The 14,735-nt window shown below is 54.2% G+C and overlaps 1 protein-coding gene and 1 long non-coding RNA gene across 3 annotated transcripts in view, besides 5 other annotated features; one reads left to right on the top strand and one right to left on the bottom strand.

Moving 5' to 3' along the window:
* Positions 1-13,568, top strand: part of MYO1D (myosin ID) — a 384,603-nt gene extending 371,035 nt beyond the window's left edge. For both annotated transcript variants that reach the window (NM_015194.3, NM_001411088.1), the window contains one exon: positions 11,175-13,568. In NM_015194.3, the coding sequence (NP_056009.1) occupies positions 11,175-11,331 (157 nt within the window). In that variant the 3' untranslated portion in view covers positions 11,332-13,568. The remainder of the gene's footprint in view (positions 1-11,174) is intronic.
* Positions 205-975: an enhancer, noted in NCBI's record as "H3K27ac-H3K4me1 hESC enhancer chr17:30832133-30832903 (GRCh37/hg19 assembly coordinates)". NCBI's record gives its function as "activates a minimal SCP1, AML or CMV promoter by ChIP-STARR-seq in naive H9 embryonic stem cells {active_cell/tissue: H9 hESC(naive)}" and the evidence as "EXISTENCE:reporter gene assay evidence [ECO:0000049][PMID:30033119]".
* Positions 1,747-2,517: an enhancer, noted in NCBI's record as "H3K4me1 hESC enhancer chr17:30830591-30831361 (GRCh37/hg19 assembly coordinates)". NCBI's record gives its function as "activates a minimal SCP1, AML or CMV promoter by ChIP-STARR-seq in primed H9 embryonic stem cells {active_cell/tissue: H9 hESC(primed)}" and the evidence as "EXISTENCE:reporter gene assay evidence [ECO:0000049][PMID:30033119]".
* LOC124903982 (uncharacterized) lies at positions 6,084-10,642 on the bottom strand. The gene is made up of 2 exons (XR_007065716.1): positions 9,799-10,642; positions 6,084-8,483 (listed from the first exon to the last, which is right to left on the bottom strand). It is a non-coding gene; the product is annotated as an uncharacterized LOC124903982 (long non-coding RNA).
* Positions 8,163-8,670: an enhancer, noted in NCBI's record as "H3K4me1 hESC enhancer chr17:30824438-30824945 (GRCh37/hg19 assembly coordinates)". NCBI's record gives its function as "activates a minimal SCP1, AML or CMV promoter by ChIP-STARR-seq in primed H9 embryonic stem cells {active_cell/tissue: H9 hESC(primed)}" and the evidence as "EXISTENCE:reporter gene assay evidence [ECO:0000049][PMID:30033119]".
* Positions 12,914-12,963: a silencer, noted in NCBI's record as "silent region_8425". NCBI's record gives its function as "represses an Ori minimal core promoter by ATAC-STARR-seq in GM12878 lymphoblastoid cells {active_cell/tissue: GM12878}" and the evidence as "EXISTENCE:reporter gene assay evidence [ECO:0000049][PMID:35858748]".
* Positions 14,539-14,658: an enhancer, noted in NCBI's record as "active region_12031". NCBI's record gives its function as "activates an Ori minimal core promoter by ATAC-STARR-seq in GM12878 lymphoblastoid cells {active_cell/tissue: GM12878}" and the evidence as "EXISTENCE:reporter gene assay evidence [ECO:0000049][PMID:35858748]".

Raw genomic sequence — 14,735 nt, 5'->3', positions numbered from 1 at the left:
CTGAAAAAGTCTTGTCTTATTTAATTTCTTTTTCTTAGAGATGGGGTCTCATTATGTTACCCACACTGGTCTCAAACTTCTGGCTTAAAGCGGTCCTCCCACCTTGGCCTCCCAAAGTGCTAGGATTACAGGCGTGAGCGACCTCGTCCAGCCTGTCTGAGAAAGCGTTTGTTTTGCCCTTGCTCTCAGATGACAGTTTGGGGATAGAATTCTAGGTGGACGGTTTTTTTCCTTCAGCCCTTTGAAGAGTCTGTATTTTCATTATCTCCCTGCATTAGATGTTCTTTTGCAAGTAACGTGTCTTTTCTCTCTGGGTATTCTTAAGGTTTTCTCTTTGCCTTTGGTGAGCTGCAGTGGATTTGCTTTTTTCAAGAGGTCAAGAGAAAGGAAAGTGTGAGGTTTCTGTTTTTTACTGACAATTTGTTTGTTGATTTGTTTTCCCACCCAGAGGTTCCTTGCCACTTTGCCAGGCTGGAAGGCAGACTTCTTCTGGTGTCCTGTTCACAGACGGGGCAGCCTGCGGAAGGCCCTGCCACATGCAGGGCCTCGGTCCTCATTCCCTTGCATGTGGACCCGGGCGTGACTCCTGTTCAGGCTGGCACTTCCCAGAGCTGAGCCCCAGCCTGACCTTCCTCCCATACTGTCTTCACACCCCCTCCTTTCTTCTGATACCTGGAGGTTTTCCTTTCTTTCCTGTCACCTCCACTTGGATTTTAAATCCTCTGTCTGTGGAATTGTATTCGGCACAGGAAGATGCTTGCAAGGGCCAGGCTCATCAGCCCTGTCCCTGCTGCTGGAAGCAGCACAGCAGAGCCTCATGCTCAGGCTGAGATGGAGCAGAGGCCTGCAGACGAGCACCCAGCTCAGCTGGGGTTGGCGCCGATGGTGGAGGGTCCTCGAAAGCTCTGGGGACGATGGCAGAGCTATTGGCAGGGGAGCCGCAGGGTCTTTTGAGCCCTTAAAAGATCTCTCTGATGACTGTGTGGAGGACATCACACAGTCTGCCCCTGTGCTGGGGCAGACCCAAGGCAGAGAAGCCAGTCCGGGCTATGACAGTAACCAGGAAGGAGAGAAAAGGGTCTGGGCTGAGGCCTCGGCAGGGGACACAGACAAAAAGTGCAATCAGTAGAACTCAGAGACTGTCGGCAGTGGAGAAGGAGCGGGAGCGGGGCTGCCTGCCAGCTCTCTGGCCTCAGTGACCGTGCAGACGACACCTCTCACTGCATAGGCTTGATGGGAGGAGGGAAGCACTTTGAGGGAGGGGGCCAAGAGGATGATCTCAGCATTGGCCATGTGAAGACTCAGCTGTCTGCAGAGCATTCCGGGGATTTGTCTAGGAAGTGGCTGAAAAGACATGCATGGACCTCATGCTAAGAGAGGGGACACGGACTGGATCATTGTCATTGAAACCACAGGCATGAGTGATGCCACTGTGAAATAATGTATAAAATGAAAGGGGCCGAAGATGAAGCAGTATTTAAGGAGTGAGAAAGCAAAGCCAAAACAGCTCCCGCAGGAGTCCCACTTATTCTTGCGGTATCAGTCTGTGTGTCGCCTCCTCTGGGAAGCCCACCCACCCCAGCCACCCAGGGTCAGTGACCCTCCTCCATGCAGCAGGTGCTTCCTACAAAGCACTAGCATCCACGAGCTTGGGCCCGGGTCATCCTCACCGCATTTGTCCTTCTCTGGACAGTGCCCCTTCCACCCTGGGCGCTCCATGAGTCACTGCAAAGAGAACGTGGGCAGGGAAGGGAAGAATGGGTGTTGGCAGCATGAGGAGAGTGCCATGGGGGAGGGGCAGCCCAGGCTGGGAGGGTGGTGGCAGTCCTGTTGGGGACACAAGCAGGGTGAGTGTGGATCACGCCCCCGGGCCTGGGAGCCAGGTCAGTTCAGTGCTGTGGAGAGGCAGACAGCAGGCTTGGGTGAGGTCTCAGGGCATGCTGGCTGCCGACAACACCCAGATATGACCCAGTTGGTTCATGACAAGAGAAAGGTTTTACTTTCCAAATACAAATGGTTTTGCCCCATTCCTCACCAGCTGCAGACCCAGAAAGGACTCAGTATGCCAGGAAGCACCACGCCACCACTCCTGGACTTGGCCTGGTTGCTGAAATCATAGCCTCACCTTATAGGTGACTGTGGTAAAAGTGTCCATTCGACCCTGACATAAACAGAAGTGGCATTTCCTAAAGCAAGATTTTGAAAGAGATTCCCTGTGTGGTTTGACATCAGCAGGGGGATTTACTTCTTGAAGGAACTGAAACACAGAGTAAACAGCTGCAGTCATGAGCTCCTGATGCTCCAGTCAGTAGCTGTTGTCCTCAGTGTGAGCCAGAGAGCATGCATTATGTCCTAGTGACATCCAGATGGAGGACGGCCTGTCTCTGTGACTCTAGAGTTTCTCATGAAGCACTTAATGCATTTACTATCACTTTGAAAAGCACCTGTCTCTGCTTGGTGCAAGGCTGTGTTCCTCCTACCACATCCTGTTACCAAACTTGAGAGAACATTGCATTAGCCTCACAATATTCTCAGACACTCCTTGCTGCACCCAGAAAAATGTTCTCACCAAGTGACTGCACTGCACCCCACTTCCACTGCATTTTCCCTTGAAGTGCATTTGTTAGAACCTGGATCACCCCCACTCTCACAGGGAATGCCATTGAGAGGAAAAGTGACTCACTGATTTCTTCAAGTCCTGCCTGGCTTCTGCAGGGGCAGGGCAGGTCGGCGAATGACAGTCTCCTAATCCCAGCTGAGCCAGGGCTGCCTGCAACCTCCCAGGACCCGCTTTCCTGGTTGGCTTTGACCTAAAACCCTGCACTGCCCAGCTGACCAGGGGCCTGGATGGGAGGGGATGTTTTCTGGGCTGATTCACCTTCTGGACAGGAGTGGCCTGTCCCACTTTGTGCAGGGCCTGCGAAGGCACAGGTAGCACAGGGAACATGTTTGTTCATTCCATAGATCAAGTCTTGCATTTACTCACGGGTTTCTCTAAGAGCAGAAGACAAGAGTCTAAATGAAAAATGAAGGAAAGTAATTTGATAAAGGCCATTTGCCTGCAATGATGGCTTGAAACAGATGAAACGAGATGAAAGTCCCCGAATTCCACAGTTTGCTGGCCATTAAATCCTGTAACAGAGGATGGGGAGGGAAAAAAAATATCCCTCCCCAATGCAGCCAGCCTCCCTCGGCAGCTGTCCTTTGGCTTGGCGCACCCTCAGAGGGAGACGCCCTGCCTCCATCTGTACGATGTTTCCTTTTCTTTAAAAAATAAGGAAAGAATTCTGGCTCTAGTTGGATTTCCAGAGTGTGGCGAAGTTCAAACAAGAAAGAAGTCACTGACCCCAAGCGTCTACTCCGTCTCCTGCCCAGGCCTTTCTCTGCTCTGTCTCCAGGATCAGCACAAGAAATCTCTTATTAGTCTTAAAATTATTTTGGCTAAACTTGAGATGAGGAGAGAAAACATGGTTTGAAGGCAAATTCTAATTTTTCATTTAGGTCAATCCACATTTTAAAAAAAAATTATTGTGGTAAAATACACATAACATAAAACATATTATTAGTCACATTTAGTACATTCACAATGTTACAAGACCATCACCTCTACCTAGTTCCGGAATATTTTCATCACCCCAAAAGGAGACCCTATGCCCTCTAAGCAGTCCCTCCACGCCCCCACTCCCCGCAGCCCTTGGCAGCCACTAACTGGTTTCTGCCTCCGTGGCTTTGCCTCTTCTGGCTATTTCATATAAATGTAGTTATACAATATGTAGCCTGTTGTCTGCCACCTTTCACTTAGCATCATGTTTCAAGGTTCAAGGTTCATCTTGTTGTAACATGTGCTAATACTTTATTCCTTTCTGTTGCTCAATAATATTTCATTGAATGGATGTACCACATTTTGTTTATTCATTCATCCACTGATGCACATTTGGGTTTATGTAGGAAAAGTCTCTATCAAACTGTTTCCTCTGCTCTCACACCACCACCACAGTCATCAACACAGAAGAAGACTTCTGTGACCAAAGGTATGGAGGTTTTCGCCACACACCTACCAGTGGTCACCAGCTGGGTGTCCTCCGATTCAATTCCGACATCATCTACCTGGAGATGGTGTCAGATCCCACAGGTTGAGGGCTCAGACCAGCCCCCACACCACCCCTAGACACCAGTTGCAAGTCAGGGTCTCTGGAACTTCTGACCAACCAGCTTCCAGTTGGAGTTCCCAGGACCTCCTCTTTGGGTTCAATTAATTTGCTCACAGAACTCAGGGAAACACTTCCTTACATTTACCAATTTATTAAGAAGGATATTCTAAAGGATGCAGATAAACAGCAGATAAAGAGACAGACAGGGCAAGGTGTGGAAGGGTCCCAAGAAGCAGAGGCTCGTCTGTCCTCGCGGACTGGGATGCCTCCCGGTACGTGCTGGATTCTTCTCCGCCTTCCCGTCAGCCTCCATGTGTCCAGCTCTCCAGAAGCTCCAAACCCATCCTTCTTGAGTTTTTTATGGAGACTCCATTGGCTGTCCATGATTGAAGCATGGACAACTGTGTCGAAATGAGATTGGCCAAAAAGGGACTGATCTAAACCCACCAAGGCCTGTCCATTCAGATCTTTCCTGGCCTCTCTGTGCAGCATTCCTTCCTCCAAGGTGTTGGGCAGGACCCCCTCGGGAATGAGGGTGTTAGGGCTCACAATCAGATTAGAGAACTGACTTGGGCAGGAGAAAGTCAGCGAGAGAGATTTTGTTTCCTGAGGGCTGCTTCTGAGGCTTCTGAGGCCTAAAGCACCCCAACGTTATAACAAAAGACTAACAATGGTTATGGGAGATACGAGCTAGGAACTGTGGATGACACCTCATCATATCATCATCATCATCACCATCATCACATCACAAGGCTGTTGCTACCTTTGGTAAACAGTGCTGCCATGAACATTCATGTATAAGCTTTTGTCTGTTCTCAGTTCTTTTGGGTATATACCCAGGAGTGGAATCGCTGGGTGATATGGCAGTTCAATGTTTAACTTTCTGAGGAGCCGCCAACCTCAATCCACATTTTCTTTTTTTTTTTTTTTGAGATGGAGTCTCACTCTGTCACCCATGCTGGAGTGCAGTGGCACGATCTTGACTCACTACAAGCTCCGCCTCCCAGGTTCACGCCATTCTCCTGCCTCAGCCTCCCGAGTAGCTGGGACTACAGGTGCCCACCACCATGCCCGGCTAATTTTTTTGTGTATTTCTAGTAGAGATGGGGTTTCACCATGTTGGCCAGGATGGTCTCGATCTCCTGACCTCATGATCCACCCACCTCGGCCTCCCAAAGTGCTGGGATTACCGGCGTGAGCCACTGCGCCTGGCCCCTCAATCCACATTTTCTGACTTCGTTATCTGCTGATGGCAGTGTGTAGATGGCGTCAGCTGGGCAGTGCTCAGCCGAACTTCAGAGCAGAAGGCTGGTTCTTCTTGCCCTTGTTGTTCGGTGGTGAGCTCAACACACGTAGTCACTCAACCCCCTCTTCTGCCCAAACGTCACAGCAGCACCACACAAACAGGCTGGGAGTCAGGCAGGCCAGGGCTGCCCAGGTCTGTGCCAAGGAAAAAAGTAGTAACCCAGGCAACTGTCACTTAAGGCGGCAAAACAGAGTATCTCTCTGCTAAGGAGCAGACCTCCTTCCCAGGTCTGGTTCACAGGTATCTGGCCACTTTGTGTTTAGAAGGAACTTCATGGACTGGGTGAGTCTCCATCCCAGGAGGCTCTTGACCAGTTGTGCCCATTGTCTTCCTCATTCATGAGGCTGCAGTGAGTGTGCGAAGTTGATGAAGTGAGCAGATGAAGTTGTGTTACTGGGAGAGAGCCATTTACACAGCAGATGGACTGAGGCCTGCAGCCTTACGCGGCCCCAGCACGTCCAGAACCTGTGGCCCAGCCAGTGTTGCCCATCAGCACCTGGGAGCATCTCCTGTGTGCAGGGCAGCACCACGCATGCAGCTGTGTAAGACGCCTCCCCTCCCCGCCAGGACCTTGCATTCTGAAAGTGGAGACCAGTACATGTGGTGTGAATGCTCCATTAAACTTGTAGGGTTGTTTATTTTTTATTTTTATTTTATTTTTTATTTTTCAAAGATGGGGTCTTGCTCTGTCACTCAGGCTGGAGTGTGGTGGCTCAGTCTCGGCTCACTGCAGCCTCCGCCTCCCAGGCTCCAGCGATTCTTCCACCTCAGTCTCCCAAGTAGCTAGGACTACAGGCCCATGCCACCACACCCAGCTACTTTTTAATTTTTTTTTTTGTAGAGACAGTAATTCACCATGTTGCCCAGGCTGGTCTTGAACCTCTGAGCTCAAGCAATCTGCCGGCTTCCGCCTCCCAAAGTGCTGGGATTACAGGTGTGAGCCACCATACTTGGCTTTTTATTTTTATTTGTTTATTTTTTTTTATTTTTTTATTTTTGGAGACAGAGTCTTGCCCTGTCACCCAGGCTGGAGTGCAGTGGCATGATCTTGGCTCACTGCAACCTCAGCCTCCCAGGTTCAAGCGATTCTCCTGCCTCAGCCTCCCGAGTAGCTGGGATTACAGGCATGCACCACCACACCCAGCTAATTTTTGTATTTTTAGTAGAGACTGGGTTTCACCATGTTGGCCAGGATGGTCTCGATCTCCTGACCTCATGATCCACCTGCCTCTGCCTCCCAAATTGCTGGGATTACAGGCGTGAGCAACTGCACCCGGCCGCCTTTTTAATTTTATTTTTAGAGACAGGGTCTCACTATGTTGCCTAGGCTGGTCTTGAACTGGGCTCAAGTGATCCTCCCACCTCAGCCTCCAGAGTAGCTGGGACTACAGGTGTGCACCACCATGCTTGACACTTGTAGGATGTTTTTTGTTTTATTTTGTTTGAGAGGGAGTCTCGCTCTGTTGCCCAGGCTGGAGTGCAGCGGCACTGCAATCTCCAACTCTCTGGTTCAAGCAATTCTCCTGCCTCAGCCTCCCGAGTAGCTGGAACTACAGGCACCCACCACCACACCCGGCTAATTTTCGTATTTTCAATAGAGACGGGGTTTCACTATGTTGGTCAGGCTGGTCTCAAACTCCTGACCTCATGATCTGCCCGCCTCAGCCTCCCAAAGTGCAGGGATTATAGGTGTGAGCTACGCACCCGGCCTGCTTGTAGGATTTAAACACAGAATCAGAATCCAAGCCCCTCCCCACAGGATGTAAAACATTTAGGAAGAGAATATTCAAAACAGAAACATTCATATGGTTTTGTGAGCTATGCTAAAATGTGTAAAGAACATAATCTGATTCAATAATATAGCTCTCTTGAACCATCTCTTTTGGAGGTTCTTGACACTTAACTGAGAAAGCAGTGGAAATTCCTTCTGCGAAGCGAGAAATTGGCACATGTTTTACACACAGTCCTTCACATCTTTCAAAGTGCCTCACGTGCATCACTCCTTAGACCGTAAATTCCACGAGGGCAGGCGGCTTCCCAGGCTCTCAGGAAGAACCCCTGTCTGGCTCCCAGCTCGGGTTTCATGTTTCCAGTGCCGACACAGTGCCCGGGGTGGAGTCAGTCCTTGTGGAGCACCTGGAGGGTAGATGGTTTGATGGTTGTAAAAGCCAGACAGAGGTTTAAGTGACTTGAACAAGGTCATGAAGCCAGGAAGCATGGCAAGGCCAGGACAGAATCCAGACTCTCCCACCCGTAGGCCCGGCTCTTGTATTAAGACCTCAAAGGGATCAGGAGAGATCTCACGTGGGCTTAGAAAACAGTCCTGGGAGGGGCAGTGTGGGGACCGCCACTAAATACCACCTTTTCTTTCCTGAAGTGTCACTGATTTTTGTTCAGTTGGGGGATGTTCTGGGGAAGTGGGAATTAGATGTTTGCCTCAGATCAATATCCGTGGTCCAGGAGAGGGACAGGTCCCCGAGAGGGGACAGAGACAGGCCCCGCCACCCTCAGCACTCAGGCGAGTCTCTGCACTGCCTCCCATCTCCTGCGGTGCTGGGGCTCCTCCGCCCAAAGAGAAGAGCTAGCAGGAACACTGCCTCCGCCAAGCCCCAGGGGCTGGGCCGGTGGTGTGGAATGCCGGAAAGCCAGAATTGCCAACGGGAAGGAGAGGACCAACTGGCTGTCCCGGGACAGTACCCACCACCAGGGAGGGGACTGAGCAGCTGTGGGGCTGGCACAGCAGAAGTAGGACAGGGAGAGGGAAAGGGGCCCACAGCTAGCTCATCCACATCCACAACCCAGAAGGATCCAGTGTCCAACTTCTGCCTTCCTTCTTGCTATTCAAGAACCTTCATTTCAGCAGAGTGGTGGCCTCGGGTGGGGAAGAGGGGCTGGCCCGGCAGTGGGAGCACTGTTGACTCGTGCATGATCGGCTTGGACCTTCCAGAGCGTGGTCTGCTCTTCCCTCTGCTGGACACTCCCTGAGGAAGGGCCTCCCCCAGGCAGCAAGTACTCCACAGGACCTACTGACAGGGACAACAGAGGGCAGGAGGAAAAGGTTTCAGCCCAGCCCGTGTGGGAAGCAGCAATCTGGAGCAGTGGTTCCTGCTGCATTTTTTATTCTACAACAACTCCCTGAGGATGATATCCTGGGTGCCGATTTATTTATTTATTTAGAGACAAGGTCTCACTCTGTTGCCCAGGCTGGAATGCAGTGGCATCATCATAGCTCATCACAGCCTTGAATTCCCGGGCTCAGGCGATCCTCCTGCCTCAGCCTCCCAGGGAACTAGGATTACAAGCACAGGCCACCACACCAGGCTCATTGGTTTGTTTTTTTATTTTTTGTAGAGAGGAGCGATGGGCTCCTGGGCTATAGGCTATGTTGCCCAGGCTGGTCTTGAACTCCTGGCCTCAATTGATCCTCCCTCCTCTGCCTCCCAGAGTATTGGGATTACAAGCATGAGCCACTGCACCCGTGCCATTTTATAGCAGTCATTTGCTCCTCCCCATTTTCCCACCAGCCCGAACCCCGGCATCAAGGCTGTAGAGCATATCCTGGAGATACACGGAGCCCAGAGGAAGCAGGGAGGGTGGAGGCAGGGGCCACCCTGCTGAGCGGGAGTCAGGAGAGCCCTGCACGGAGGAGCATGCCCCGATTGTCTGAACACGAGAGGGTGAGGGTGAACTAATGGTTCCCATTTTCTGTCTCTTAATTTTTTTGAGCTGACGTGGAGCGTGGCCTGTTTAGAGCCCATTCCCTCAGACTGAGTCACCAGGTGATTCTGGAACCCACTGTGTACATGCAGTTCCCCAGGGAAGGGCGAGGGCAGAGTCTGGACTCCCTGCACAGGGAAGGGCACAGGCCCTCCAGGAGGGCGAGCAGGGGGAGGCCGCTGCCAGGGTCAGGAGGGAGGCTCCCAGAGGACAAGAGTCCAGTGAGAGGGACCCAACGCCATACCAGGTTGACAGAGGGGAGGCAGGGAGGCCACCCCAGCTCAGGGACCAGCCTGGTCCTGGAGGCATCTGGTCCAGCACGAGGGCTGCAGGGGCCCCACCTGGACCCCGCCGCCAAGGGCTGCACATGAGCCCTGCAGAGCGGCCCTGGTGCCCACAAGAGTAGAAGAGGGCCTGAGTCACGGCCTCTGCTGGGCTCTGCTATTTTTATGTCCAAGTCTGGTTAAAAATAGCTGTCTAAGCTCAGGTTTTAGCTGCAGCTGACAAGACATTAAGTATTAGATACGTAATGCCCACAAGTGACAACCGGGGTCTCTTCCTGTGTCCGTGAGAAAGCAGGGGGGAGACAGCCATGAGGAGAGCCCCTGAGCACCCCGCACTTACCTCTGAAACTTTGGGGCCTGCTGTGGGGCGCGCCCACCAGGTGTCCTCAGAAAGCGTGTGCTGGGCCAGGTGCTCTAGTGACACCCATTACTCTGGGCACGCTGACCCCGTGGAGCCACCGCACGTCGGAGCCCTTTGAGCTGCCTCGGCGTCTGAGCAGTTGCGCCTCCCGGGCAACCAGTGCTTAGAAAGTGCCTCACGTGCTCATGGCCTGGTGAAGGCGACTCCAGGCTGGGCAGAAGCTCAGCGCATGCTGGCCTTGGCCCTGGCGTTCCCCTGGCCGTGTGGACACGACAGCTTGGCGTTCACTGCCCAGCACTAAGAGCAGCTCCGTAAGTCCAGCAGAGCGTTCAAAGCGGGACCAACCTGCCCACGCCCCAGACGCCATCCCGAGAGCAGTGAAAAATTCCCAGGGCTTTCGGCATACGGAGCAGAGCCAGCCAGTCCTGACTGGAGGCTCCGAGGTCAGGAGGCTTCCTCCTTTCTCCTCTCCCCTCCCAGCTCAGAGCTGACAAGGCACAAGCTGAGGTACAGCGTGGGATTGTGCTGCCTGTGTGAGCAAACATTGGGGTGCCAGCCTATCGCGACAAGTGTCTCTGCTTTTAAAACCAGCAGCAGCTTCTTAGCATGTTCAGCGTCGTGTGAGGAGCTGGAGGAAGGGCTCGGGCTCGGGCTCTGTCCAGCAGGAAGAGCACAGCTTCCGCCTCTGCACCCGACCTGGAGCCCGGCCGGACGCCCGGCTGAAGCCGCCTTCATGTGCTCCCAGGCCAGCGGGGCTTCCTGCTGCACAGGGTTCCCTGCAGCCCCCGGTGGGGCACCGGCTGCACTGTTCTGCAGCCTCCAGGGTGGCAACCAGCCAAGCGGCCCAGCTCCAGATGAGAGCAGCCTCTCGCTTGGGGAAACCCAAGTCAGGCCCACTTCCACCAGCCGGGGTGTGACAGGCAGGGACCAGCCAGGAGCAGGAGACATCTCTCTCTCTCTCTCTCACTGGGGCATGTGGCACGGGTCTCCCGCAGGATGGATTAGTGTCAGAGTCAGAACCCCAGCCCTGGTACACCGAAGGACCCAGGGGCTTGGTCCTCAGCCCCAGCCAGAGACCTGGTGGCGTCTGTTCAACCACATGGCCCTCCACTGTCCAGTCCCATGCGCTGGCATGGGAGCCAAGGGCCCTGCCATGGTGCCGAGGCTGTGGTTGGAGGCCCAGCTAGTGCCACACTCGCCTTGCCTCGGCCTCTCTGGGGCCCTTCAGGCATCCTCCTGGCACTTGTGGAGGAAGCAGGCTGCGCCGGAGCCAATGGTGGCCGGGAGCTGCCGGGCAGGTGCCCTGTTCTCATGCTGCCTGCTAACTGCCCGTCTGGTGTTTTTGGTTCCTGCAGTGAGAAGCGCCACCTTCAAGTGAACGTCACCAACCCAGTACAGTGCAGCCTGCACGGGAAGAAGTGCACCGTCTCCGTGGAGACGCGGCTCAACCAGCCCCAGCCCGACTTCACCAAGAATCGCTCGGGCTTCATCCTCAGCGTGCCCGGGAACTGACGCCCCGCGGAGGCCTGGCCCGGAGCCCGGCCACACTCCGAGTCCTGGGTCCCAGTCCAGCTGCTGCCTCCCAACCCATGCCCGCTAGAAACCTGCTGCGAGGGCCCCTCCCAGAGGAGCCCCGCCCCTGTAAGATTTCCTTCCTGGTTTTCTGCCTTTGGTATCATCTTCCTCTGTCCTTACTGTCCACGGTCCCTGTTCAATAAGCCAAAGACCCTGGTGCCCCGCCCAGACCCCTGGGCTGACGTCCAGACCAATCTCACCCCAGAGGCAACTGGATGGTGCCTTTAGTTGGTGCGGATGCCCCGTGGCCAGGTCAAGTCAGAGCACCTGGACAGGTGTCCTCCCTGCTGCTGACCCTGCAGAGGGAAGGGGTGGGGATGCAGGACCCCACTCTGCGGGAGCCCCATAGCCACCTCTCTTGCCCAAGGTGAGCCAGCCCTGGGGACCCAGCTCAGGGAGGCTCTGCTCAGAGTTCGGCGGACCCACCCCAACCCAACTCCCAGCCGCCAGCCAAAGCCACTGGGTGAGCAGAGTCACCCACAGGGCCAGCCCCTCAGCCAGGAGCCAGTGGCAGGAGCGGAACAGCCCATCCAGCAGAGTGAGTCCATCCTTCCCAGGTTCTCCCCTGGGAGACTCCCTTTGCCACCAAGGCCCCCACCAGGGCCTCTGACCACCGCTCTGGAGAGGACAGTGTGGCATGCTCCAAGGATCATCTTACTTAACTCGCAGCCTGTGGCTGTGGTCCTCTTATAGATACTTTCACCGTTTGCAGGGTTGCTAATCAGATACCTGCTGTCACCACACTTGGGTCAGGAACCCTAATGAGAACGGGGAGCTGCCAGGGTGAGGGCAGCCCTCAGGGTCGGCCGCTTTCCCTCTGGACCACCTCCCGCTGCGTTTCCTACTCAGAGAAACAGCAAGGGCGGGGTCAAGACACGGGATGACGGGAAGCAGGAAGCGGGGCAGCAGCACAGCGTGGGGTCCTGGCACTGCAGGCCAGGCCAGGATGCCCACCCCGCCCTCTACACGGCCCCTTGGGGCCTGCGCCCGTGAAACTGGTGCCAGGGAGCACTGCCAGCTTGCCAGTTTCTGCCCAGCAAAAGCACGTATGCTTCAGGGGCCTTCTGAGACCACCTTCCCCACTGAGCCCCAGCTGCTGAGAAGGCCTTGAGGGAAGTAGAGGCTGGGAGCAAATGCCCCATGCGGTGAGAGGATGAGGGGAGCCTACGCCTCAGGCATGTGGTGAGAGGATGAGGGGGAGGGAGCCAACGCCTCAGGTGGAGTGGGCAGAGGTGCAAGAGAGGGATGTACTGAAGCTTCTTCCCGTCCTGCCACAGACACTTCTCCTGCCTTCCCACCCTGACCCGGCAGAACCCACCAAGTGCCTGTGTGCAGCCTCCTGTGCCTCACCCAGGGCCTGACCCCAGAGTGGTCCCAACAACCCGGTCTCATGCCCACTCCCCATCCCTGCTTCCCAAAAATTGCACTGTGTGCAGTTTGCAACAAAGAATCCCGCTGGCATCCTGTCCTTGGGAACCCTTTCTCATTCTCCAAGCCTGGTCAGCTGCCTGCACAGGCAGAGGTGCCCTCAGCCCAGATTAGCAACACTCATAGTTTTGCCAATTACCAGTAGACACTAGTGGAACCATCTAACTGGAACTTCCTCTCTCCTTCCACTTATTTCCTCAAACTTGTTGCTTTACACTAGACACATGCAAATGTATGTTTTAAACACACCAAAACAGATCATGCCAAATGAGTTGCCTGTCAAAGGCTGGAGGGCAGGAGGAGGGCCTGGGTTTGGGTTCTTTCCTCCCAGCCTTTGGATGGTGCCTTGGGCCCCTTAGCCCCAGCGCCAGGGCCTCCCAGCTGAGGCCACAGGACAAGCACTTTTTTATGATGTACTAAAAGCCACAGTATGTGGCAACTGCAAAAGGATCAGGAATTTAGGGTATGATCTCGGTCACGTGTCCCGGGCGCTGAGGGGAAAGGAAGCGGGCATGATTGTAGACAATGAGGGGGTTCTCTTGATGTAATGAAATGCAATTTTATGGTTTGGTGCAAAAACTCCTATTTTCCAGTAAATTAACTTTATTTCTAAAGCATATTTTGATTTGCCATCAAGAGCAATAAAGCATTAAATCTTATTTTTAAAGGTGTTCTGCTTATCTGTCACTGAAAACTTGGTGAAATTTTTGCTTAAATAAAGTCAACCATTATCTGGGAGGATAGAAGGGAGAATTAAGCACAAATCATGTAAAATGGAGGATGATTTGCCTGAGGCTTTTGAACAAAAAGTGAGCAAGAAGCAAGCTGTGGACCGGAGGTGTGAGGAGGGAAGGAGGCCGTGGGGTTGAGTCCCAGCACTTTCTCCTGCCATCTTGAGGCCTGTGCGCTGGCAGCTGGAAGCACACTGCTTAGTGCCAGGGAATATGTTTACTGCAATAGAAGCACGTATGTAGAAAGGAAAGGCTCAGAGACCTACAGCAGCAGACTGGGGACAGGCCAGGCCAGCGGAGTGAAAGGTGCTGGGAGGAAGTGTGGGGGCGGCAGGGAGAGTGAGAGGAAGCAGCAGCTCCTCCTGGGGAAGGGAGCAAGGCCCTGAGGGAGCAACAGGGCATGGCCAGCACCCAAGGGTCCTGCAGCCAGGGTGCTTCCGGTCACTGGTCATTGGCAGAAAAGAACACGCAGCGGTGGCTTCTGTAACTCAGACGAAGGCAGTTGCTTTGTGGAAAGCAAGTGGCCTTGATCACAAGGCTGACAGCTCCCAAGCTACAACTTGAGGACAAGAAAGACTTTCCTAGTACTCAGGAGCAGCTTCAGACCGCAGGGTGCAGGGCCTGGGGAGGGCCACATCCAGCATCCCCATAACCCTCTTCCTGAGGCTGACGCTGGTGGCACGTGCAGGCCTCAGGCTGGCAGTCAGGACAGGTACAGATAGAGCTGGTAGGAACCCCACCCTTGCCGCAATTATGGGCTGGAGTGGCTGCTTCCCTGGGAGCCACAGGGCTGGATTTCTCCCTCCTGGAAACCCGCATGGAGCTAAACCTGCAGGGTTGGCCCATGTGGACGCCAGCCCACCCCTGCTGGCCTGGGAGACCCCGGGGGAAGGGAGCACAGAGCAGAGCCAAGCCCAAGAATACGTGGGAGCAGCAGCTTCAGAGTCACACCTCGACACAGGGAGTCTAGGGTCCAGAGCCCCTGCAGGACCCACCCGGCCAGACCTCACCAGGCCATGCTTGGGCCTGACCCTCCTTGGCCGGAGGTTCCAGTCACCCAGCTCTGCCACGGGAGCCTTTGGGAAACAGCTGCCCTCACCTCGGCCGACGCTAAACCAAAGCTGACTTAACCTGTGCTTCCTTCTTAATCACCTTAGTGTGTTAAGCCCTCGCCCCCAACTC

The sequence above is a fragment of the Homo sapiens genome, chromosome 17 (assembly GCF_000001405.40).
Source record: "Homo sapiens chromosome 17, GRCh38.p14 Primary Assembly".
NCBI lineage: Eukaryota > Metazoa > Chordata > Mammalia > Primates > Hominidae > Homo > Homo sapiens.
This window is presented reverse-complemented; position numbering and strand designations above follow the sequence as displayed.